This window comes from Homo sapiens, chromosome 8, assembly GCF_000001405.40.
Source record: "Homo sapiens chromosome 8, GRCh38.p14 Primary Assembly".
NCBI lineage: Eukaryota > Metazoa > Chordata > Mammalia > Primates > Hominidae > Homo > Homo sapiens.
In genome coordinates, this window is record NC_000008.11 from 87,217,777 (window position 1) to 87,243,032 (window position 25,256).

General features: G+C 35.6%; 1 protein-coding gene across 4 annotated transcripts in view; it reads left to right on the plus strand.

The window, feature by feature from the left end:
• Window positions 1-25,256, plus strand: part of CNBD1 (cyclic nucleotide binding domain containing 1) — a 562,238-nt gene that overhangs the window by 351,362 nt on the left and 185,620 nt on the right. For all 4 annotated transcript variants that reach the window (NM_173538.3, XM_047421411.1, XM_024447082.2 and 1 more), the window contains one exon: window positions 19,143-19,336. In NM_173538.3, the coding sequence (NP_775809.1) occupies window positions 19,143-19,336 (194 nt within the window). The remainder of the gene's footprint in view (window positions 1-19,142; window positions 19,337-25,256) is intronic.

Here is a 25,256-nt window from a genome sequence, read left to right on the forward strand (position 1 = left end):
ACTAGAAATCTTGAAAAGCCAATTCATCTGGTTATCCAGGGATATATTTTAAAATCCGTAAAAAGTGGAGAAACCATCTGGACTTTATATTTATTGAGAATTGGTATTTAAACAAATTTTAAAAGACCTTTCTGAGATTTTTGTTTGTTTTAGTAGAAGGGCGTTTCATAGCAAATTTTAAAAGCTTGATGGTATATAACTTGGAGTCAGAAAAAACACCTTCTTTTGGTGGTATAGGTGCTTTGATTTATTTTTAGAGGTAAAAAATTCTTAGCTCTTCCACCCGAATACCTATGGGTGTAAGAACCATAATACTTTCTTCAGGCATGTGGGGGCTTCTTCAATATCCCAAAGCTATTTGTTCCTCCCCACTCCTGGCAGGGCTGACTCTAACACACACATGCTCTTGATCTGAAACATAATTTAATCTGCAGTGGTTAGACATAATAGTTACTCAAAAAATAGTTGATAGGTGAATCTATGCATTAACTAGCATTGGAGGTAATTTCCAACAATGTAAACTTTAATACGCAGTACTGATCTAAAGTTCATTCAGGAACAAAATATTTATTGCTAGATGATAATCTGAAATAGATGTAGTTCATGCATTCTTCCAGATAAACTAATGATTATCATTCAATTATAATGCTGAATTCTATGGCCACATATCACGGTGCCATTCTTTTGACCTTCCCATGTAAAAGTGATTTTTAAATTCTTAGAAATAGTCTATTATGCCTGGTAAAGGGTATTCTATTAATTACTTTTGTGAAAATCTTAGTTATGTTTATACTAAAGTGTAAACTTTTGGGAGAAATATATTCAATGTTATTGAGAATTTTTATAGTTACTAAATCCTGTAACTGATCATATTTCCTCTTATATGTTGGCTATTAGAAAGCCTTTAAAAACTATTTGATTTTAAATAGATATGATATTGTTTTGATATAAATTTTAAAAGATTGAAATGTTTTAAAAGTAAGGAAAATGGAGCTAAAATTGTCCCTGTATCCAGCATTACCTCCTTGAAAATATATAGAATTTCACAGAATATGTTTTGTAATTTAATATTATTCTTGCCTTCATCAGTTTTTCCTATGTTTATCTTCACTGTATTTCATTAACTTTTTAAACAATATTATCTGTATTTTTGTATGCTCACAAGATAAATCCTTTTAGATAACAAATGAAATCCTTTACTGAAAAAAGTCAAAGGCTTTGATTTTAATATGTGTTGTTATGCATAATAAGAAACTGTTTTCCTTCTCTGGAAATTTTTAATGTAAACAAAATATTTGAAGAAATTATAAAAAATAACAATCTGTATATATTTTTAAATCTGACTTCAAATTGATACATGAGGCTTAGACATACGTGTGTCATTTGATAACTGTCTTAAATATCTAAATATAAATCAAAAAGCATTTTCATTACTTCGACTATAAAAACACAAATTCAGTAAGTACTTCAAATCTTGGAAGAATAACTTGAAAACTACAATAAGTATTATAAAAGGTAAGGATGAATGTGACTGAACTTGAAGAAAATGTGGGACATAAATGAAAACAGACTCTCATCAGCACATAGGTCCTCTACATGTGGACGTGATTACACAGAGATGTGTAAAGTCTTACTGATAACAGTGTGGTCTTGAAATACTTAAATACCCTTCAAGACAAATTATACCTTCAGCTTAACCACAAATCAATGAATACATCCTAATGACAGGATGTCTAAAGACCATATATATGTATATATAGCCAGAATATATATGCATATATATAGCCAGAATACTCCTATAGTAACTCTAAGTACACAGTGATGATCAGCAAGTGATAAAATACTAAATACAGACTTGGAGCTTAGCTGAACAGTTGGATGGACAAGTCATGAACAACTGAAATTCGTAATTAAATAAGAAACACAGTTTCTAAACTGTTCAATATTTATTGTTCATGCTTACTGTTTGGAATCAGGCATATCTACATTAGTTTTGAACCAAACAATGTTAAAATAGTCACATGCTTATACAATCACTTACGGGAATAATAAGAGTTAACTATATTTTGGGTACCCTTCACATACTTCTTAATATTTTGACTCATTAGTATCTTAATAGATGTCCATTCACTAGTTCATATATTTTACAAGTCTAAAAAATTCATATTATTATACTAAAAAATAATAGGCAATAAAAAAGTTTAATTATCATAAATTCCTATAAACTTTGGGATTAAACTTTTAAAGTTAAGCAAAATAACATTTTTGAAAATGTTTTAGTGATTTTTTAAAGGATTAATAATTAATAGGTTGTTACAATCATTTGTGTATTATAAAATTATAAATTATTCCTTTATGCAATCGCCAATAATATTTAACTATTTTTTAAAGTAACTTAATGCTATGAATATGATGAATTCACTTAATGCTATGAATATGATGAATTCTCATTTCCGTGTTTATTCCCTCTGCAATTGGCTTCATTGAGAGGGTCGATTTTAAAAGTTTGCAATGTTCGTAGTTTGCCTTACCAATAGTCCTCTGACCAGTCACCTCAAGCCAGGATGATTTAGTGATATCCTTTTAGGGAGAGCAAGTCCAGAAGAAGACCAGCATCTGACAAAGGTCCTTTATGAACAATTTGATTCATTCTTGTCTCTGCAACTTCACTTTCTTTCTGTCCCTTACAAGAGTTCTCCTGGAACCTCCCCTAACTGTCCAAGTTTTTTTTTTTTTTTTTCATTTTTTTGATGAGAGCTTTAATTCATTGCTGTGATTCAACTTTAATGTATATGCTTCTGATTTTCAAATTCATAGGTTTTTAGACCTTACCTCAGCTCAACATTCACATAATTGAACTGCTAATATTTCTGCAAACACCACTTTTGAATAACTGCATATTTTTGTCATACAGATATGTTATACTTGATCAATCTTTTTAAAAAGGTTGTACATATTTTCCTATCATGAATACTGTGGTCCTGAATATATACTTACAGTAACTTTTACTTGTATTTTGGATTATTTATTTATGACAGATTTCTAAAGTTAAAAGTAATGAATCAAAATGTGGGTATATTTTAATATCTCGATAGTTGTCTACAAATGATCAGAAATATATCATCCCAGTGTTACATGAGAATGCCACTATTGCTGCATTCTAAATTTTAAGGCTTTGGTAATTTAAATGTTGAAAAATCACCCTCTCCCCATATTTGAGAGTCACTCCTGACTGTGGCTGTCCTGGCCAAGCAGGCTGCCCCTTTTCTTTCTCCATCCTTATTTTTGGTGTTTCTTGTCACTTTTCTGTTAAACTCCAGTGTTCTCTCTTGGATAATGTATTTGAGGTATGGTTTTCTCATACATTATTTTGGTTCTTATAAGTGGATAAGTTGTCTATGAGATGCTTCTAGTCAGCCATCTTAAACCAGTCATACTTCATTTTAAAAATTAGCACTGTTTTTATTCTAATTGAACATTGTGTAATTGGTTATTTAAAACATAATTCCAATTTCCAGTGCTCTCCTAAGTGTGTCCTAACCTGCTTTTAAGTGAATTCTTTAAAATACTTTTTCCTGTACTGTGCTTCTGACAAACTGGGTAATTCACTGTTCTTTATCAACCTTCCTAGCTTGATTGAAGTCCATCAAGTACTCCATGTTACCTGCTTCTGGTCTTGTTCATTTGATTTCCTACTATACAAATATTTTTCCTTCCATATCTGTCAATCAAAATTGTATCTACATTTCAAGATCCATCATAAATGCTTCTTTTTCATAAAGTCATTCCATATATTTCCCACCAGACACAATTTATTTCTTCTCCAGACCTTCATATCATTTTATGTACTCATTTAAGGATGTTTGCCTTGTATTGCCTCTTATAATTATATACTTTGTAATTTTCACAATACCAGAAGAGTATTTATTTTTATTTTGGAACAGAGAGTATCAATATTTGAAGGCTATTTCAATAGACGCTCTGAGCTCAAAATAAAATGAAATAAATTTCTTTACATCCCGTCCAGTTAGCTGTGTAATATTTACGTATTTGCTTTTTTAATCTCAAAATAAATATCCAGTTTTATTTGCCTGCTGTCTTCTACAAGTTATTGCATTATTCTAAGCGAGGTTATTAGACTTGTGTCTTAAAATAACTACTCCTGGTACCTTAGAAGAGGAAAAATTGGACCTATGCAAAATAATCCCATTTCCAAAGATTCTTTAATATAATAAAAGCTATGAAAAGGCCATTTTATTGCTTTGTTATCTTATCTCTGCAATCATTTAGACCTTATAAAGAGATTCCATAAATTAATCCATCTGGCTTAAAATTTATATAACTTTCTTATATTTTTCCTAGGCTTCCATCTAAGGGCCTGAGAAGAAAATTGACCATCATAGAGTTTTATCTTATTCCTCAATAGACAGAATTCTAAGGAAAAAAAAAGAGTTGATCTTCAAATATTTTATAAAATTCTTTGGAGAGAAATACTGTAGGGGATCATTAATTAAGCTTTCATTTATTCGACGAGTGTTTTTGCTAAATGCCTAAAATTATCTAGGCTGTGTGATATGAGCTGGAGATACAGAGAGCAGTCAGTTTCTTCTCTCAAGAGGTTACAGTCTACTGGCAGAGACTGAAAACAAAGAGTGCCATGGCAAAAATTCTGTGAAGAAAGATCCCAGAGGAGGCCTGTTAATTAGGTTGGATGGGGGCAGGGCTGAGGTCAGAAAAGGCTTCCCTGGTAGATAGATAACAGTTAAACTCAATTTTATAGGGCAAGGAGGGATTCACCACTGACAATATGACCTTATTCATCCAATTATAGTTCCTTGAAACTTTTAAGTCCTTCTAGAATGGCTGATTTTAGCTGAAGGTCTTTGTACCAGAGAGTGGGAAATGTTTAGCAAGATTCACAATCATGTTTGCTTTAATCAGACTTTGTAATTGGCCGTTAACCTTTCAAAAAGTCACTATCAAAATGATTAATTAAACTTTCTCTAACTAGTATTTTTAATTCTTTTTAATGCCTTCTGTTCATTAATAGAAGTATAGTTAAGAGCTATTTTCAAATATGGGGTCCTGCATTAGGGGTTTCACAAGTCCTCATGAGAATGGTTCTTTGATTTTTCATGTAATAGAAACTAGGTATATAAATACTTTTATGAAACTTATTCCTAACCAACTTGATTTTGATAAATTACTTTTGCAAAGTCTGGGAATCATTATTTAATGGGCTGGAAATCAGTATTGTTTCCTTATTGTCTGATTTTTCTTTTTTTTTTTTTTCAACAAACCACTTTTATTATAAAAATTTCCAGACTTACATAAAAACCCCTGTGACCCCATCAACCAGTTTCAATAGCCATCAAGTTTGCCATACGTATTTAATCTATCCTCCCTTTACCTCCCCACCTTTTTGCTTTTTGGCTGAAGTTTTTTTTTTTAATTTTTATTTATTTATTTATTTATTTTTTATTATTTAAGTTTTAGGGTACATGTGCACATTGTGCAGGTTAGTTACATACGTATACATGTGCCATGCTGGTGTGCTGCACCCACTAACTCATCATCTAGCATTAGGTATATCTCCCAATGCTATCCCTCGCCCCTCCCCCGACCCCACAACAGTTCCCAGAGTGTGGTGTTCCCCTTCCTGTGTCCATGTGATCTCATTGTTCAATTCCCACCTATGAGTGAGAATATGCAGTGTTTGGTTTTTTGTTCTTGCGATAGTTTACTGAGAATGATGGTTTCCAATGTCATCCATGTCCCTACAAAGGACATGAACTCATCCTTTTTTATGGCTACATAGTGTTCCATGGTGTATATGTGCCACATTTTCTTAATCCAGTCTATCATTGTTGGACATTTGGGTTGGTTCCAAGTCTTTGCTATTGTGAATAATGCCGCAATAAACATACGTGTGCATGTGTCTTTATAGCAGCATGATTCATAGTCCTTTGGGTATATACCCAGTAATGGGATGGCTGGGTCAAATGGTATTTCCAGTTCTAGATCCCTGAGGAATCGCCACACTGACTTCCACAATGGTTGAACTAGTTTACAGTCCCACCAACAGTGTAAAAGTGTTCCTATTTCTCCACATTCTCTCCAGCACCTGTTGCTTCCTGACTTTTTAATGATCGCCATTCTAACTGGTGTGAGATGGTATCTCATTGTGGTTTTGATTTGCATTTCTCTGATGGCCAGTGACGGTGAGCATTTTTTCATGTGTTTTTTGGCTGCATAAATGTCTTCTTTTGAGAAGTGTCTGTTCATGTCCTTCACCCACTTTTTGATGGGGTTGTTTGTTTTTTTCTTGTAAATTTGTTTGAGTTCATTGTAGATTCTGGATATTACCCCTTTGTCAGATGGGTAGGTTGCGAAAATTTTCTCCCATTTTGTAGGTTGCCTGTTCACTCTGATGGTAGTTTCTTTTGCTGTGCAGAAGCTCTTTAGTTTAATTAGATCCCATTTGTCAATTTTGTCTTTTGTTGCCATTGCTTTTGGTGTTTTAGACATGAAGTCCTTGCCCATGCCTATGTCCTGAATGGTAATGCCTAGGTTTTCTTCTAGGGTTTTTATGGTTTTAGGTCTAATGTTTAAGTCTTTAATCCATCTTGAATTGATTTTTGTATAAGGCGTAAGGAAGGGATCCAGTTTCAGCTTTCTACATATGGCTAGCCAGTTTTCCCAGCACCATTTATTAAATAGGGAATCCTTTCCCCATTGCTTGTTTTTCTCAGGTTTGTCAAAGATCAGATAGTTGTAGATGTGCGGTGTTATTTCTGAGGGCTCTGTTCTGTTCCATTGATCTATATCTCTGTTTAGGTACCAGTACCATGCTGTTTTGGTTACTGTAGCCTTGTAGTATAGTTTGAAGTCAGGTAGTGTGATGCCTCCAGCTTTGTTCTTTTGGCTCAGGATTGACTTGGCGATGCGGGCTCTTTTTTGGTTCCATATGAACTTTAAAGTAGTTTTTTCCAATTCTGTGAAGAAAGTCATTGGTAGCTTGATGGGGATGGCATTGAATCTGTAAATTACCTTGGGCAGTATGGCCATTTTCATGATATTGATTCTTCCTACCCATGAGCATGGAATGTTCTTCCATTTGTTTGTATCCTCTATTATTTCATTGAGCAGTGGTTTGTAATTCTCCTTGAAGAGGTCCTTCACATCCCTTGTAAGTTGGATTCCTGGGTATTTTATTCTCTTTGAAGCAATTGTGAATGGGAGTTCACTCGTGATTTGGCTCTCTGTTTGTCTGTTGTTGGTGTATAGGAATGCTTGTGATTTTTGCACATTGATTTTGTATCCTGAGACTTTGCTGAAGTTGCTTATCAGCTTAAGGAGATTTTGGGCTGAGACAATGGGGTTTTCTAGATATACAATCATGTCATCTGCAAACAGGGACAATTTGACTTCCTCTTTTCCTAATTGAATACCCTTTATTTCCTTCTCCTGCCTAATTGCCCTGGCCAGAACTTCCAACACTATGTTGAATAGGAGTGGTGAGAGAGGGCATCCCTGTCTTGTGCCAGTTTTCAAAGGGAATGCTTCCAGTTTTTGCCCATTCAGTATGATATTGGCTGTGGGTTTGTCATAGCTCTTATTATTTTGAAATATGTCCCATCAATACCTAATTTATTGAGAGTTTTTAGCATGAAGGGTTGTTGAATTTTGTCAAAGGCCTTTTCTGCATCTATTGAGATAATCATGTGGTTTTTGTCTTTGGTTCTGTTTATATGCTGGATTACATTTATTGATTTGCGTATATTGAACCAGCCTTGTATCCCAGGGATGAAGCCCACTTGATCATGGTGGATAAGCTTTTTGAGGTGCTGCTGGATTCGGTTTGCCAGTATGTTATTGAGGATTTTTGCATCAATGTTCATCAAGGATATTGATCTAAAATTCTCTTTTTTGGTTGTGTCTCTGCTCGGCTTTGGTATCAGAATGATGCTGGCCTCATAAAATGAGTTAGGGAGGATTCCCTCTTTTTCTATTGATTGGAATAGTTTCAGAAGGAATGGTACCAGTTCCTCCTTGTACCTCTGGTAGAATTCAGCTGTGAATCCATCTGGTCCAGGACTCTTTTTGGTTGGTAAGCTATTGATTATTGCCACAATTTCAGCTCCTGTTATTGGTCTATTCAGAGATTCAACTTCTTCCTGGTTTAGTCTTGGGAGAGTGTATGTGTCAAGGAATGTATCCATTTCTTCTAGATTTTCTAGTTTATTTGCGTAGAGGTGTTTGTAGTATTCTCTGATGGTAGTTTGTATTTCTGTGGGATCGGTGGTGATATCCCCTTTACCATTTTTTATTGCATCTGTTTGATTCTTCTCTCTTTTTTTCTTTATTAGTCTTGCTAGTGGTCTATCAATTTTGTTGATCCTTTCAAAAAACCAGCTCCTGGATTCATTAATTTTTTGAAGGGCTTTTTGTGTCTCTATTTCCTTCAGTTCTGCTCTGATTTTAGTTATTTCTTGCCTTCTGCTAGCTTTTGAATGTGTTTGCTCGTGCTTTTCTAGTTCTTTTAATTGTGATGTTAGGGTGTCAATTTTGGATCTTTCCTGCTTTCTCTTGTGAGCATTTAGTGCTATAAATTTCCCTCTACACACTGCTTTGAATGCGTCCCAGAGATTCTGGTATGTTGTGTCTTTGTTCTCGTTGGTTTCAAAGAACATCTTTATTTCTGCCTTCATTTCGTTATGTACCCAGTAGTCATTCAGGAGCAGGTTGTTCAGTTTCCATGTAGTTGAGCAGTTTTGAGTGAGATTCTTAATCCTGAGTTCTAGTTTGATTGCACTGTGGTCTGAGAGATAGTTTGTTGTAATTTCTGTTCTTTTGCATTTTCTGAGGAGAGCTTTACTTCCAACTATGTGGTCAATTTTGGAATAGGTGTGGTGTGGTGCTGAAAAAAATGTATATTCTGTTGATTTGGGTGGAGAGTTCTGTAGATGTCTATTAGGTCCGCTTGGTGCAGAGCTGAGTTCAATTCCTGGGTATCCTTGTTGACTTTCTGTCTCGTTGATCTGTCTAATGTTGACAGTGGGGTGTTAAAGTCTCCCATTATTAATGTGTGGGAATCTGAGTCTCTTTGTAGGTCACTCAGAACTTGCTTTATGAATCTGGGTGCTCCTCTATTGGGTGCATATATATTTAGGATAGTTAGCTCTTCTTGTTGAATTGATCCCTTTACCATTATGTAATGGCCTTCTTTGTCTCTTTTGATCTTTGTTGGTTTGAAGTCTGTTTTATCAGAGACTAGGATTGCAACCCCTGCCTTTTTTTGTTTTCCATTGGCTTGGTAGATCTTCCTCCATCCTTTTATTTTGAGCCCATGTGTGTCTCTGCACATGAGATGGGTTTCCTGAATACAGCACAGTGATGGGTCTTGACTCTTTATCCAATTTGCCAGTCTGTGTCTTTTAATTGGAGCATTTAGTCCATTTACATTTAAAGTTAATAGTGTTATGTGTGAATTTGATCCTGTCATTATGATGTTAGCTGGTGATTTTGCTCGTTAGTTGATGCAGTTTCTTCCTAGTCTCGATGGTCTTTACATTTTGGCATGATTTTGCAGTGGCTGGTACCGGTTGTTCCTTTCCATGTTTAGCGCTTCCTTCAGGAGCTCTTTTAGGGCAGGCCTGGTGGTGACAAAATCTTTCAGCATTTGCTTGTCTGTAAAGTATTTTATTTCTCCTTCACTTATGAAGCTTAGTTTGGCTGGATATGAAATTCTGGGTTGAAAATTCTTTTCTTTAAGAATGTTGAATATTGGCCCCCACTCTCTTCTGGCTTGTAGGGTTTCTGCCGAGAGATCCGCTGTTAGTCTGATGGGCTTCCCTTTGAGGGTAACCCGACCTTTCTCTCTGGCTGCCCTTAACATTTTTTCCTTCATTTCAACTTTGGTGAATCTGACAATGATGTGTCTTGGAGTTGCTCTTCTCGAGGAGTATCTTTGTGGCGTTCTCTGTATTTCCTGAATCTGAACATTGGCCTGCCTTGCTAGATTGGGGAAATTCTCCTGGATAATATCCTGCAGAGTGTTTTCTAACTTGGTTCCATTCTCCCCATCACTTTCAGGTACACCAGTCAGACGTAGATTTGGTCTTTTCACATAGTCCCATATTTCTTGGAGGCTTTGCTCATTTCTTTTTATTCTTTTTTCTCTAAACTTCCCTTCTCGCTTCATTTCATTCATTTCATTTTCCATCACTGATACCCTTTCTTCCAGTTGATCGCATCGGCTCCTGAGGCTTCTGCATTCTTCCCGTAGTTCTCGAGCCTTGGTTTTCAGCTCCATCAGCTCCTTTAAGCACTTCTCTGTATTGGTTATTCTAGTTATACATTCTTCTAAATTTTTTTCAAAGTTTTCTACTTCTTTGCCTTTGGTTTGAATGTCCTCCCATAGCTCAGAGTAATTTGATCGTCTGAAGCCTTCTTCTCTCAGCTCGTCAAAGTCCTTCTCCGTCCAGCTTTGTTCCGTTGCTGGTGATGAGCTGCATTCCTTTGGAGGAGGAGAGGCACTCTGATTTTTAGAGTTTCCAGTTTTTCTGTTCTGTTTTTTCCCCATCTTTGTGGTTTTATCTACTTTTGGTCTTTGATGATGGTGATGTACAGATGGGTTTTTGGTGTGGATGTCCTTTCTGTTTGTTAGTTTTCCTTCTAACACACAGGACCCTCAGCTGCAGGTCTGTTGGAGTACCCTGCGGTGTGAGGTGTCAGTGTGCCCCTGCTGGGGGGTGCCTCCCAGTTAGGCTGCTCGGGGGTCAGGGGTCAGGGACCCACTTGAGGAGGCAGTCCGCCCGTTCTCAGATCTCCAGCTGCGTGCTGGGAGAACCACTGCTCTCTTCAAAGCTGTCAGACAGGGACATTTAAGTCTGCAGAAGTTACTGCTGTCTTTTTGTTTGTCTGTGCCCTGCCCCCAGAGGTGGAGCCTACAGAGGCAGGCAGGCCTCCTTGAGCTGTGGTGGGCTCCACCCAGTTCGAGCTTCCAGGCTGTGTTGTTTACCTAATCAAGCCTGGGCAATGGCGGGCGCCCCTCCTCCAGCCTCGCTGCTGCCTTGCAGTTTGATCTCAGACTGCTATGCTAGCAATCAGCGAGACTCTGTGGGGTAGGACCCTCCGAGCCAGGTGGGGGATATAATCTCATGGTGCGCCGTTTTTTAAGCCCGTCGGAAAAGCGCGGTATTCGGGTGGGAGTGACCCGATTTTCCCGATTTTCCAGGTGCGGTCCCTCACCCCTTTCTTTGATTAGGAAAGGGAACTCCCTGACCCCTTGTGCTTCCTCAGTGAGGCAATGCCTCGCCCTGCTTTGGCTCGCACATGGTGCGCGCACCCACTGACCTGCGCCCGCTGTCTGGCACTCCCTAGTGAGATGAACCCGGTACCTCAGATGGAAATGCAGAAATCACCCGTCTTCTGCATCGCTCAGGCTGGGAGCTGTAGACCGCAGCTGTTCCTATTCGGCCATCTTGGCTCCTCCCCCCGATTTTTCTTAAATGCTGGTTTTTTTTTTAAATACATGAAATCGTTTTATGTATTTTGAATATTTGAATGAGGAATCCATGCTATTTGTTTCTTCTCACAGGTTAAAAATTTCAAATGCTTATATTTAGCTTGCATTATTAACAAATGTCTCTTTTCTCACAATTCATACATTTAACACCACTTTGTGCTCTGTTAGTAATATTTTAATTGTTCTTTGACACCTTAATTAGATAGTAATCTTTTTTAGACAATTTTATAGTATTTTAATAATTTGTCTATAAATTTTGGGATTATGTCAAATACTCTTTGAATTCTATTTTGAGAAGCTTTTGTAAATTCAGTTTCAGCCAAATTTTATACTTTTCTCTGAACTCTTCATTTTAACTCCATTTACAATGTTAAATTTTTTGTTTGAATAAGGATCATTTTCCTTTTTTATTCTCCCCTAGTACATCTATACAGAAGTCAACCAAAATTTCGTCTCACTCTGCATATATGTCTGAAATTAAAAAAAAACTTTTATTTTCAAATTTCTTCTCAAATAATTTTGATAGATTTATGAATATGCCAACTATGTTAATTTAAGGAAATAATTGAGGGTCAATTTCTGAACTCTCTTACAAATAATGTATTAGTCCGTTTTCACGCTGCTGTAAAGGAATACCTGAGACTGGGTAATTTATAAAGAAAAGAGTTTTAATTGCCTCATGGTACCACAGTCTGTATAGGAGCCATGATGCTGGCATCTGCTTAACTTCTGGGGAGGCCTCAGGAAACTAACAATCATGGCAGAAGGCAAAATGGGAGCCAAGACTTTATATAGCTGAGAGCAGGAGGAACAGAGAGAAGAGGGAGGTGCCACATAGTTTTAAACAATGGGATTTCATGAAAAATCTATCACTAGAACAGCATCGAGAGGATGGTGCTAAACCATTCATGAATGATTCACACCCATGATCCAATCACCTCCCACGGAGGCCACATCTCCAACACTGGGGATTACAATTCGACAGGAGATTTGGGCAGCGACACAGATCCAAACCATATCGAATGGTAAGAATTATTTTAATTCCCATTGAGGTTGTTTATAAAATCTATAAAACTAACATACATTTGTAGGTATATATTTATCTATATATACATTTTATACATACACATCACTACTTAAATATGCACGTACAGCACACACACAGAGCACTCATATGTATGTATGTTTGTATGTGTGTGTGTGTCCTTCAGATGTTAGAACACATTTGAAAACTTCCAGAAATTAATGTACTTTGTAACTTTTGACAAGTTATTTTATCATTCTGAGCCTTGGTTTCTTCATCTGCAATATGCAGTAACAATGTATGGTTTTCTGGGTTATTGGAATAATTAGTGTTAGAACACCTAGCACAGTGCATGACAAATATTTAATGCTTGGTACATGATATTTACTCTTCATGGCATGTTTGGTATATATGAATAACAGGAATAGCTGTTTCTAGATTTAAGAAATCTAGATTAAGAGGTTGCTTCTTAAGGAGTCATTTATTTAGGAATAGCCAATCAACCCACTTGTCATTAAGATCTGAAAACATTAACTTCTATTTTATGGAGAATATCTAGTGAAAGGTATACTTAGAGTTCTAATCAAGAACTATTATTTTGCTCAATAATTAACAATGTCTTTCTTTATAAGTATTTAAAAAGAGACTTGTTTTTAAAGTCTCAGGAAACTTACATTCATGGCAGACGGCGAAATGGGAGCCAGCATTTCATATGGCTGAGAGCTGAAGGAAGAGAGAGTAGGGGAGGTGCCACATAAGTCATTCTCTTATGAACAAGTAACTAATACTACCAAATCTCTTTCTAGACTTGTTTTTGTATTATAATGTTTATATCATAAACATGTATTCATAGGCAGACATATATTTACTTTTATTTTAAACTTTTTAAGTGAACATATATTACTTTGTAATGTATTTTTTAACTGAAAATGTCACATGCTAAATAACACACTGTAGTCTTATTTTATCATAATTGAAACACTATCTCTAAGCAATATATTTCAAGAATGAGACAGAGAGGGGAGGGGAAGAAAGAATTCTATGTCAAATTACAAAGACTAGTATAGTCATGTGGAACTGCCACTGGGTGTCTTCAAATACTGGCTCTACCACTACTAGCTCATCAAGCTTGGGAAGGATGTTTAATTTTTCCCTGCTTTCAGTTTCCTCAGTTGTAAAGTTGAAGCAATCACAGTGCCTGACTCATAGGGTTATAATATGTTTAGAATAGTGTCTCTCATATAATAAAATGTTCAAAACAAAGAAAGTCAAACAATATTTGCTGTCATCTTGTGAACAGATTTTTTTCTCTAGTTTTTTTCTCCACTATATTTGCATAAGCTTCCATTTAATTGACATATCATAGCATCAGGATATTTCACCCCTAAACACTTCAGAGTGTATCTAGGATTCAATATTTGTTTCTGACACTTTATTTTTTAAGGCAAAATTTATATACAGTGATGTGCATATGTATACCTTAAATGTATCACTTGATGAGTTTAGACAAATACTGTATCCCAGATCCTTAGCAAGATACAGAACTTTACTATCACCCTAAAAGTTCTCTTTATATTTCTTCCCAGTCAGTCTGTTGTCTGTCCCATAGGGGCAATGGCTCTCTATTTCTTTTTTTAAATTCTCACTATGAATTGAATTCACATGAATCATTTAAAACTTTGTAATGAAGTCAGACAGCATGTACCCTTTTGTGAAAACTTTATTCCAATCAACATAATGCTTCTGAGATTTATCCATGTTGTATGAATCAATAGTTCATTCCTTTTCATAGCTGAGTAGTATTCCATTGCATGGACATACAAGAGCTTCTTTACACATTTTCTTCCAGAGGGACACCTGAGATTTTTATAGAGTTCAGCTATTATGATAAAGCTGCTAGTAACATCCTTGTACAAGTCCTTTTTGGACATCTACTTTCATTCCTCCTGAGCAAATACCTAAGAATGAATTACTGGGACATACGTTAGATGTATGTTTCATTTTATAAAAAACTGCCAGATATTTTTACAGAGTAATTGTATAATTTATACTCCCAGTAACAATGTGTGAGAATTCTAGATGTTTCACATCTATGCCAATATTTGATTCTTTCAGTTTTTAAACTTTTGGCTATTGCAGTCTCCCTCTTCTGTTTCCAAATAAATGCGCTTATTCAAAAATTCTGATTTGTATAAGTATGGGTGATTCTTATTTTTTCTTGTGCCTTTTCAGTAAGTTTAATTTTGTAAAAGCATTTTTAGCAATAAATTCAGCATTTTACAAAATTAAAAAATAAATTTAGCTAAAAAACGTTATATAAATACTTGTCAATGTTGTGTAAATGATTACAGTACTTGTAGCTTGCGATATAATTTCAGGGACTTCTTTACATTAAAATGCAAATATACTGTATCCCAAACCAACTTGAGTAAAGATAATGGTTTCAGGGAAATGTGTTGGATGATGAAAGAAATAATCTGAACTATGATGAAGAAACTAAAAGAGAAGAGTCATGTGAGATATTTGAATATTTATGCTTTTTAAATTAAACACAGTTTTTCCGAAGTAATAGTATGTAATATGAGGTTTTTAACATTATTGTTAACTAATTTAATTATTATTATTAGATACAGTCTTTTTCATCTACATGTTTAAAATTTCACTAATTTAAATTGGCCAAAACTTTTAAGATAATGTTTGCATTGGTAAAATTTGGTTATGTATATTAGTTTTAAAATTCATTTAAACCCTTTAATAGTAACTACAACAACATAAAATTATTATATTCAATGAATAATTGACAAAATAATACGTTTAAAATACATGTAGATAACTTAGCATGACAATCTTTGATCTGGACGTTGATCCTAGGAGTATATGATTCTCCCATAATTACACAATGAATGTAACACTGGGACTAAAAATCAGTCCTTCTCCTGCCTTCTAGACTAGCATTTGATCCATTTATTATACAGGCACTCCTCAGAGAAATTTCAGGTTTAGTTTCAGAGCACTGCAACAAAATGAATATCACGATAATGTGAGTCACACAGATTTTTTGGTTTCCCAGTGCATATAAAACTTATGTTTGCATTATCGTGTAGTCTATTAAGCAGTGATTGCATTATGTTTAAAAATATATATACCTTAATTTAAAATACTTAATTGCTAAAAAATACTAATGACTACGTGAACCTTCAGTGAATCCTAATCTTTTTCTAGTGGAGGGTCTTGCCTCAATGTTGATGGCTGCTGGCTATTCAGGCTGGAGGGTGCTGAAGATATGGGTGGTTGCAGCAAATTCTCTCTCTCTCTCTCCTTTTAGAGATAGTCTTGTTGTTTTTGCCAAGGCTGAACTTGAACTCCGGGGCTCAAGTGATTCTCCCACCTCAGTCTCCCAAGTAGCTGGGACTTCAGGCACACAACACCATGCCCAGTTTGGCTGTGGCAATTTCTTAAGAAGATGGCAATGAAGTTTTCTGCATCAATTGACTCTTCCTTTTACAAAAGACTTATCTGTAGCATGTAATGCTGTTTGATAGCATTTTACCCACAAAACATTTCAAAATTTGAGTAAGTTCTCTCAAACCCTGCCAACTGCTTTATCAACTAAGTTTATGTTACATTCAAAATCTTTTTTAAAATTCAGTGTTCACAACCTACTCATTAGAAGTAGATTTCATCTAAAGAAACCACTTTCTTTGTTCATCCATAAGAAGCAACTCCTTATTTGGTTTAAGTTTTACCATGTGATTGCAGCAATTCAGTCACATCTGTAAGTAAGCTCTACTTTTAATTCTAGTTATCTTGCTCTTTCCACCACATCTGCAGTTTCCTCCTCCACCAAAGCCTTGAACCCCTCAAAGTCATCCTTGAGGGTTGGAATCAACTTTTCCAAACTCCTGTTAGTGTTGATATTTTGACCTCCTCTCATGAATCACAAATGTTCTTAATGGCATCTAGAATAATGAATCTTTTCCAGAATGTCCAGTTTACTTTGCCCAGCTCCATCAGAATAATTATGTCTATGGTAGCTATAGACTTATGAAATGTATTTCTTAAATAATAAAACTTAAAAGTTGAAATTACCTCTTGATTGATAGGTTGCAGAATGAATGTTGTGTTAGCAGGCAGGAAAACAATATTCATTTACTTACACAATTCCGTCAGAGTTCTTGGGTGACCAGATGCATTGTCAATGAGCAGTAGTATTTTGAAAGGAGTCTTTTTTCTGAGTAGTTGATCTCAACAGTGGGCTTCAAATATTCATTATAGAATGCTATAAAAAGATATGTTGTCATCTAGGCTTGGTTGTTCCATTTATAGAGCACAGGCAGAGTAGATTTAGCATAATTGTTCAGGGCCCTAGAATTTTTGGGATGGTAAAGGAGTAGTGGCTTCAACTTAATGTCACCAGCTGCATGTCACAGTCAGCTGACCTGCATGTCACCATCACGAGCTGTATGTCATCATCAACCTCTCCTTTGAAACTTTGAAACCAGGAATTGACTTCTTCTCTCTTTTAGCTATAAAAGTACTAGATGGCATCTTCTTACAATAGAATGCTGTTTCATCTACATTGAAAATCTGTTTAGTGTAACCACCTTTATCAATGACCTCAGCTAGTGTTCTGGATAACTTGATGCAACTTCTATATCAGCACTTGCTGTTTCACCTTGCACTTTATGTTATAGATATGTCTTCTATCTTTAAACCTCATGAACCAAACTCTGCTAGCTCTCAGCTTTTCATCTGGAGCTTCCTCACCCTCTCTTAACTTTCATGAAATTGAACAGAAATAGGGCCTTGTTCTGGATTAGGTTTCATTTAAGAGAATGTTGTGGCTGGTTTCATCTATCCAGACCAGTAAAACTTTCTCAGTATAGCAATGAGGCTGTTTTGCTTACTTAGTGTGTTCACTGGAATAGCACTTTTAAATTTCTACAAGAACTGTTCCTTTGCATTCACAACTTGGCTTACTATTTGGTGTAAAAGGCGTAGTATTCAGCATATTTCATCTTTCAACGAGCCTTCCTTACTCAGGTTAATCATTTCTAGCTGTTGATTCAAAGTAAGAGACACATGACTCTTCCTTTGACTTGAACACTTAGAGGATATTTTAGAGCTATTAATTGGCCTAATTTTAACATTGTTGTGTTTCAGGGAGTAGAAAGGCCTGAGGACAGGGAGAGAGATGGGGAAACAGCCATTGAATAGGGCAGTCCAAACACACACAACATTTACCAATTAAGTTCATTATCTTATATGTGCATAGTTTGCGGTGCCCAAAACAATTACATCAATGGTAACATCAATGATCACTGATCACAGATCACAACAGATATAATAATAATGAAAAAGTTTGAAATATTGTGAGAATTACCAAAATGTGACACAGAAACACAAAGTGAGCACATGCTGTTGGAAAAATGGTGCTGATAGACTTGCTAGATGCAAAGTTGCACGAATCTTTGATGTATAAAAAATGCCATATCTGTGAAGCACTGAAAAGCAAAGCACAGTAAAACAAGATATGCTTGTATTGTGTTGCCTAGAAGGAGGTCTAGTTTAAGCTCAGACATCCAAGCAAGAACAACCTTTACTTTAAAGAAGCATGAAAATCACTCCCCCATGGTCACTGTGTATGAATTGTGACTAAGAAAGTCACACTAATAAGCACTCAGAAAAAAAGCAGACATGGCAAGCATTTGATGACTTTTAGGACATTAAAAAAAATGATTGGCCCTGAAAATGCAATTTGTAAAGTTTCTAATTCTTTCAAGTTCATAAGCAAAGTGTAAGAAAATATCTCCTGACAGCACTTGAGTAATTTGCTTCAATCTTATGAAGTAATGTAAATAAGAAATGGAGAAAGACACCATCCCACTCTTACCCCCTTATTCTTCAAAGGCTTCAGAAGAACTGGAATTAATTTAAGTTGCATTAGAAATATTCACAAATGAGTATGTCTTTCAGATGTACAGGCACACAGTTTAACTTTAGGAATTGGGGTTGGATGACAGTTTTTAGAGATTTATGTAAGAGTAGGACAGATATGGGAAAAACTCTTCTTTCTAGTAATAATCAGCCACCCTCTCCAAACTGTCTCCATTATTAAGTTCTATAAGTGATTGTCATCATGTCCAGAGCAAAGATAAATGAAAATTAAGGGTAGGTATATATTGTTATTTATATAAAATAGGAAAAATGGCATTTTGTGTATGGGAGGCTCATAAACATTAAAAAACATTCAAGGGCTTTTCTGGTCCCATTTTTCTCACAATGTCTCAAATCTATTAATAATTATATGTAACCATGTTTTCTTCCACTAGAACCCATCAGTTCTGTGAGAGGATAGCTACTATATGTAATTGTCTGAAAAGAATACTCCAAATGTATAAACATGCCTTTGTTATTCTTGTTACTTGAGTAAACTATTTGAAAATGCCTATTACATTAAATTCACTGTTACAGAATACACTGAAAGAAATACGTTGAAAGTACCGTAAGTGTAATATATATATTAGTCATATCTATATCAAGGAGCCTGAGCACACAGTATATATTTTTTGGCTTTGTTTTTTTCAGTGGTTGCAAATGATGGATTTTATGTAATACTGAAAGGCCTAGCTCGACCTCAAACAAACGTGTATAAAAATCTGATTGAAGGAAGTGATTCACCAGACTCGTTCATATCTCAGAGTTTCCACAGCTTCATTTGGAGTGAAGAATTCAAAAACTCTACACTTGCTGAGATGTACCTACCTTCATATGACTCAATGGTAAGAGATGAGTATTTGCTTTTTCCACAAGCAACAAGGTAACGGGCTTTTGTAAAACTTTATCTCTTCCAGACATTAAGATCCAATATCTTTAGAGTCCTGAAATATTTACGATAATATAGCCTTTAAAATATAAATGATATTATTAATACTTACATTTGATTAAACATTTTTGATAAAGGATGCCTTCAACAGCATCTGACCACTGGCAGGGTTTGTGTGGTGTATTTGGTAACAGACAAGGTTGATGTGGCTGGATCCCTGAAAGAAGGATAATAGTAGTTTCAGATAAGTGAGAGGGAATAGGTGATTTGAGGAGGGAGAGACAGGAAGACTAATTGATTATGAAAGACCTTTAAATCAAGTCAAGAATGTATGTTTATTATGTTTGTCTCAAGAGCAATGCTAAGATAGTCAAGTAGTTAATTACATTACAATCAGAAATTCTTAATTGAGGAAAATCTTTTGCATCTATATAATATTTCAAGACTATTAGCTGGTCAAAAATTAAAAGTTCCATATCTTTCCGAATCTCTGGATACTCCACATGGGATAGAGGTCTGAATTGACTAGAATTGTGGCTGATAGTCAGTTCTCAATTTAGGGTGATCAAGATGTTCAGAGTAGAAAAGAGTCAAAGAACCAATTAAAACCAAATAATTTAGCATTATGGGGTACAATCAGAAAAATCCAGAACTAATATCATATTCAAGAGAAATAAGCATGGATCATATCCAGAAAGAATGACAAGGATAAAAATGAACAAGCCTATAAAAGTATATTATTCATCTCACATGAATGAATGATGTTTCTGATTGTCTTCTTGTTAGGGATGGAAAACAATGCATTTGCCATGTCAGTGACCACATATAATGGACCTAATGCTATTTTAGTCTGCTCTAGCAAATATGCCACGTTTAGCACAACAGCTGTAATTAGGGCTTCAAAGACCGATTTTTTTTTTTTAATGTTCAAACTCATGTATTAAATGGGGATATGATGGGAATCACCAGATCTGCATTCTGCTTTAGGTCTTTAGGAGCAGTACTAATTTCTGGCATTCCACCTGAGATGTGATATGGTTTTCAATTTCCTATCTTGGCCAGAGTGGGGGAAAGGGTAGAGAGAAGTTTCAGAGGCTTCCACTTAATCTTTACTGTGATAGCTCTTACTGCACAGGCCAAGAAACCAATGTGGAAACTCTACCCACTACCAAGTATCCATTTAAATTTTGCTTTTAGGGACCATGGATATTGCCCATGGGGTAGGCTTATGGACCCAGTGAAGCCACTGGGAAACAGACCCAAACCAAAACTTTACTTTTTAGGAATTCTGCCTGTTTATTCTCTGTAACAGGTGACCATGATGACATTTTGTGTATCAAGGCTTTAATGTCACTATCTCAAATTTTACAGCTCCACTTCTCCATCAGGGCCCTAGCCTTAGCATAAAATAATAATAAAAAAATACTTGCAGAGGTTGAGACTGCTATAGCAGAGCTCCAGAGAAGATAAATATGAATATATTTATATCTATGTGCATATCTATCTCTCTATCATGTATGTATCTGTCTACCTACCTACCTACCAATTATCTACCTACCTACCGGCCTATTTATATACCAAGTCAGATTCTCAGATTTTTCTGCCCTCTAACTGTTGAAAATGAGATTTTCTTTATGTGCTGCCAAAGAACCCTGGGATTAGATCATTCATCTTAAATGGGTGATTAATTTTCCTCTTCCTTTTATTGTATTCCTTTAGTGCACTGAGAGCTCCCAGCAGCAATCATCCTATGCCATGGTCCTTATAAATACTCATTCTACAATATCTCAGACGTCTGAGATATTGTACCTTCCAGTACATTCCCTTCTACTAGTACCTAATGCCTGCTTAACATCATTAAAATTTTATCAGTGGTACTGATACAACTGGTCAGAGACTACCAGTACTCCAGTGATGGATTTGTATTGCTAGCTGGCTGGCAGGCAGTTAAGCTCTAAATCCAGTATTTTTTCTAGTTTAATAAAATTTTTTGAAAAAATGAAAAGATAGAAATCAAGGCAGACAATTTTAACTTGCAGCAACTCTGTGGTTTTTGTTGTTGTTTAAGTTTGCAGAAGGACAAGTATATGATTACTGATAAACTTATTTCACATTGCTAAAAATTTAAAGTATCCTTGCTAACCCTGTCCCCTGTAGAAATTATGAGTTTAGCTGGTGTTATGAAACATGCTGCTCTTTCCCTATTTTAAAAATTTGCCTTTTTGTGTATTTACTTAGTGGGCCTTTTTCAAATAAAAATATTACTATTTCCAAAGATTTGTGTCTAGGAGAGTTTTGTAGTTTTGCACACATAAAGGGCTATATTTTTCTTTCTCCCTTTTTTGGCTTTATAAAAAAACATTATTTGCTTTTTTATTGAGTTTCAACAGAGAACCGAACAACTAAGAAGAAGAAAAAAGTTATAACATTTTCACTCTTCAATTTCACCCTCCAACAGTTTGGTAAACTAATGGGCATCATTTGAGTATAACAAACATAAGGTGAAAAACATCTAATCCAAGGATCAAATTTATTTCTCATGAGATAATGTATAGTTGTGAATAAAAATTGTTAAAGCTCCAAGCATCTGCTGTTCTAACTCTTTACTACACCCTGGACGAAAAATAAGTGCAGTATAAATGTACAGTGAAACAATTTTTTTTTTGCTTTTCTCAACATAGATTTACACATTGAAGCTGAAAGCTTTTTCATTAGAGTTGATTATATAAGGAAAGAGATAAAAAATTACACATTTATTTACAAGATCACCAACTTAATGCTTCTAAGTAGCTTTAAAATCTTTCATTAATTTTATTTTTCCAATTAGTCTTACAACTTTTAAAATTATAATAATAAATTCAAATTTCTTAGAGACATCTCAGCATAAATATAGTATGGTCTGTGCCAAAACACACACACACACACACACACACACACACACACACACAGACACAAACATGCACTTCTATATTTCATATTTATATACTTCTATATTCAACATATATTACTATCTGCAGTTAAACATATTTTACTAAAATCTATTTTTGCTATGATTAAATTTAGCAAAATTATAAAAGCAAATTATTAAGTTGAAGATTCTCAATAATTATTAAAAGAACTTTCTAGTTTGTTAAAGTAGTTTTCTTTGAAATACATTTGGAATTATGTGGAAAAAACTGATAAAAATATATTAATATATTCAACAGGCAGGGCCCAGTGAGGGTAAATTATAAAATAGTAATTTTTTTTTACACCAAAGTTTTCAAACAAGTGGTGTAGTATTACTCTTCCATGATACCTGGATCTTAGCACCTCAATCAGATCCTAGGTATTAATGAATAACCTCACTCTTTTTGGTCTTACAAATTCCAGTCCTGTCTTTATATCAAATTTTCAAACTTTCATGCTTGATACTCAGCTTATGCCTTATTGTGCCATAGAATCCAGCAGTGGGAAGAATAGTTTAAATTGGTCTATTCCCCTTTCTTACTTTGCATACTCTTTTACTCACTAGCTTGGTTTTCTGGCTCTTTCCAGTCAGGAAAGGAAGGAGGCTGGGAATTAAAGGCAAAATGGTAATGGGACCTTATGTGATTGGATGTCCAAATATAGGCTCGTTTTCTCAGGGTGTTTCCCCTCCTGCAGTTCCCTGGAGCTGGTGTTGCCTCCTAGAGGGCTTTTTAATACCGTACCCTTGATCCCTGGCTTCAGGCAGTGACCACTTGAATCGCTTTTTAGGGTCAAAATTCATCTCTCCAGGAGGTTCTCCAGGGTTGTTCCCTTTTCGTACAGTTTAGCTGGATACTTTTTGTGGGTCCCCCCAGTTGATGGGCTAGGGAAAGTTTCAAGTTTACTCCACTAAATTGCTGTGTCCTCACTCTGAGCCCAGAGGTCACTGGGAGTGGAGGAAAAAGAAAACTTCAGGACTCTAAAAATTGTCATGAAGCAGGTATCTTTCAATCTTTGCTGCCAACTTCCTGATCTCATTTCTCAAGAGGATCTTGAATTTACAGTTGAAGGAGTTTGTACTCATTTGAGACAGTAGTTGAAATTATGGACTTTGAATCTTATACTTAAAATAGCATTGGGCACAAAAATCTGTATTTGGAAGATTTTTTTTTTTTTTTTTTTTTTTGAGGAGTCTCGCTCTGTCGCCCAGGCTGGAGTGCAGTGGCGCGATCTCGGCTCACTGCAAGCTCTGCCTCCCGGGTTCACGTCATTCTCCTGCTTCAGCCTCCCCAGTAGCTGGGACTACAGGGGCCTGCCACCACGCCTGGCTAATTTTTTTTGTATTTTTAGTAGAGACGGGGTTTCACCGTGTTAGCCAGGATCGTCTTGATCTCCTGACCTCGTGATCCACCCGCCTCGGCCTCCCAAAGTGCTGGGATTACAGGCGTGAGCCACTGCACCCCGCCCATGGAAGATTTTTGAATGGATAACAATGAAAGTGTCTAGCAGGGTGTCACATACTAACGCAGGAAAAATAATTATAGGTTCACTGCTTTGGTCTAGGAGTGAGATTACAAAGGCAGGGAATACACAGTGATTAAATTCTTAGTTTGTGCCTATGTAAAAAAATAGTTTAAGTAATAGGATATCAATACCTATTAAAAAAACAAAATGATACTTATTTGTGATCATTTTGGAAGCTATAATAATACCATTTATTTTCTTGGTAAGATAAGAAAAGGCAATGGTTCTACCTCTCTTTGTAAGTGTATAAGTTGGGGAACCAGAGATAATAAGCATATGTAGAGAATGTAAATAAAAAATAAAATTCTAAGCCCCCAGCCAACTGAATAGACCCCTCGTCTTAGCCAAGAACATTACAAAGTTAACCTGAAAAACTAGTTGAGGACATAATTGCCAGGGGGGTCAGACATTCCTCATTATACCCTCTTGCTTTTGGTATTCAGGCACAACTGACCAGCATTAATGTTAAAACAGAGACCTTAAGACTGACAAAACACTCTTTGTAGCCATAAAATGCCAACATGACAGATGGCAGGCCCTGGAAGATATTGAAGTATTTTACCCCAAAATATATTTCTTTGACATATTTTGAAATGGCCCTGAAAAGCTGTCTCTTGTGGGGAAAATCAATATTCTATAGAAAATCGCCTTCCCTTTCCAGGTCTTTTTCCTGATACAAGAGAAAATTAGCTAAGAATCTGGCACCTTTTTAAGTCTGATATGAAACATTTACAATCTATTATGTCTGAAGCCTGCTACCTGGAGGCTTCATCTGCATAATAAGAACTTTGGTAGCCACAACCCTTTATATTAATGCAGATCCTTTATATTAATTAACCCTTTATATTAATTAACCCTCTTCTATTGATTCAGGGTCTTTAGATAATAGCTTAACTCTTTCAACTAATTGCCACTCAGAATGTCTGTGAATCCACCTATGACTTAGAAGGCCCCTCTTCAAGTTGTCCCACCTTTCCAGATAGAACCAATGCACATCTTACATGTAATGATTGAGGTTTTATGCCTCCTTAAAATGTATAACACCAAGCTGTAGTTCAACCACCTTGGGCACATGTTCTTAAGACCTCTTGAGACTTTGCCTTGTGCCACAGTCATTTATATTTGGCTCAGAATAAATCACTTCAAATATCTCAGAGTTTAACTTTTTTCATAGACAATAATTTAATTGCTTATGGCATAAACTTAATTGTTGATATTTATATTCTTAATGGGAATAAATCCCAACTCAAAAATATTCTTTATTTTCTTGTATCAATTACTAGCTAGTCTGTCAATAACAAAACCTCTGAAAAAGGACAGGGTGGAGGGAGGAAATGTGGTAAAATCAACCTGCTGCCAGTATGTATATTTCCTTAATTTACAGTAAAGTTATTTTGAACAAA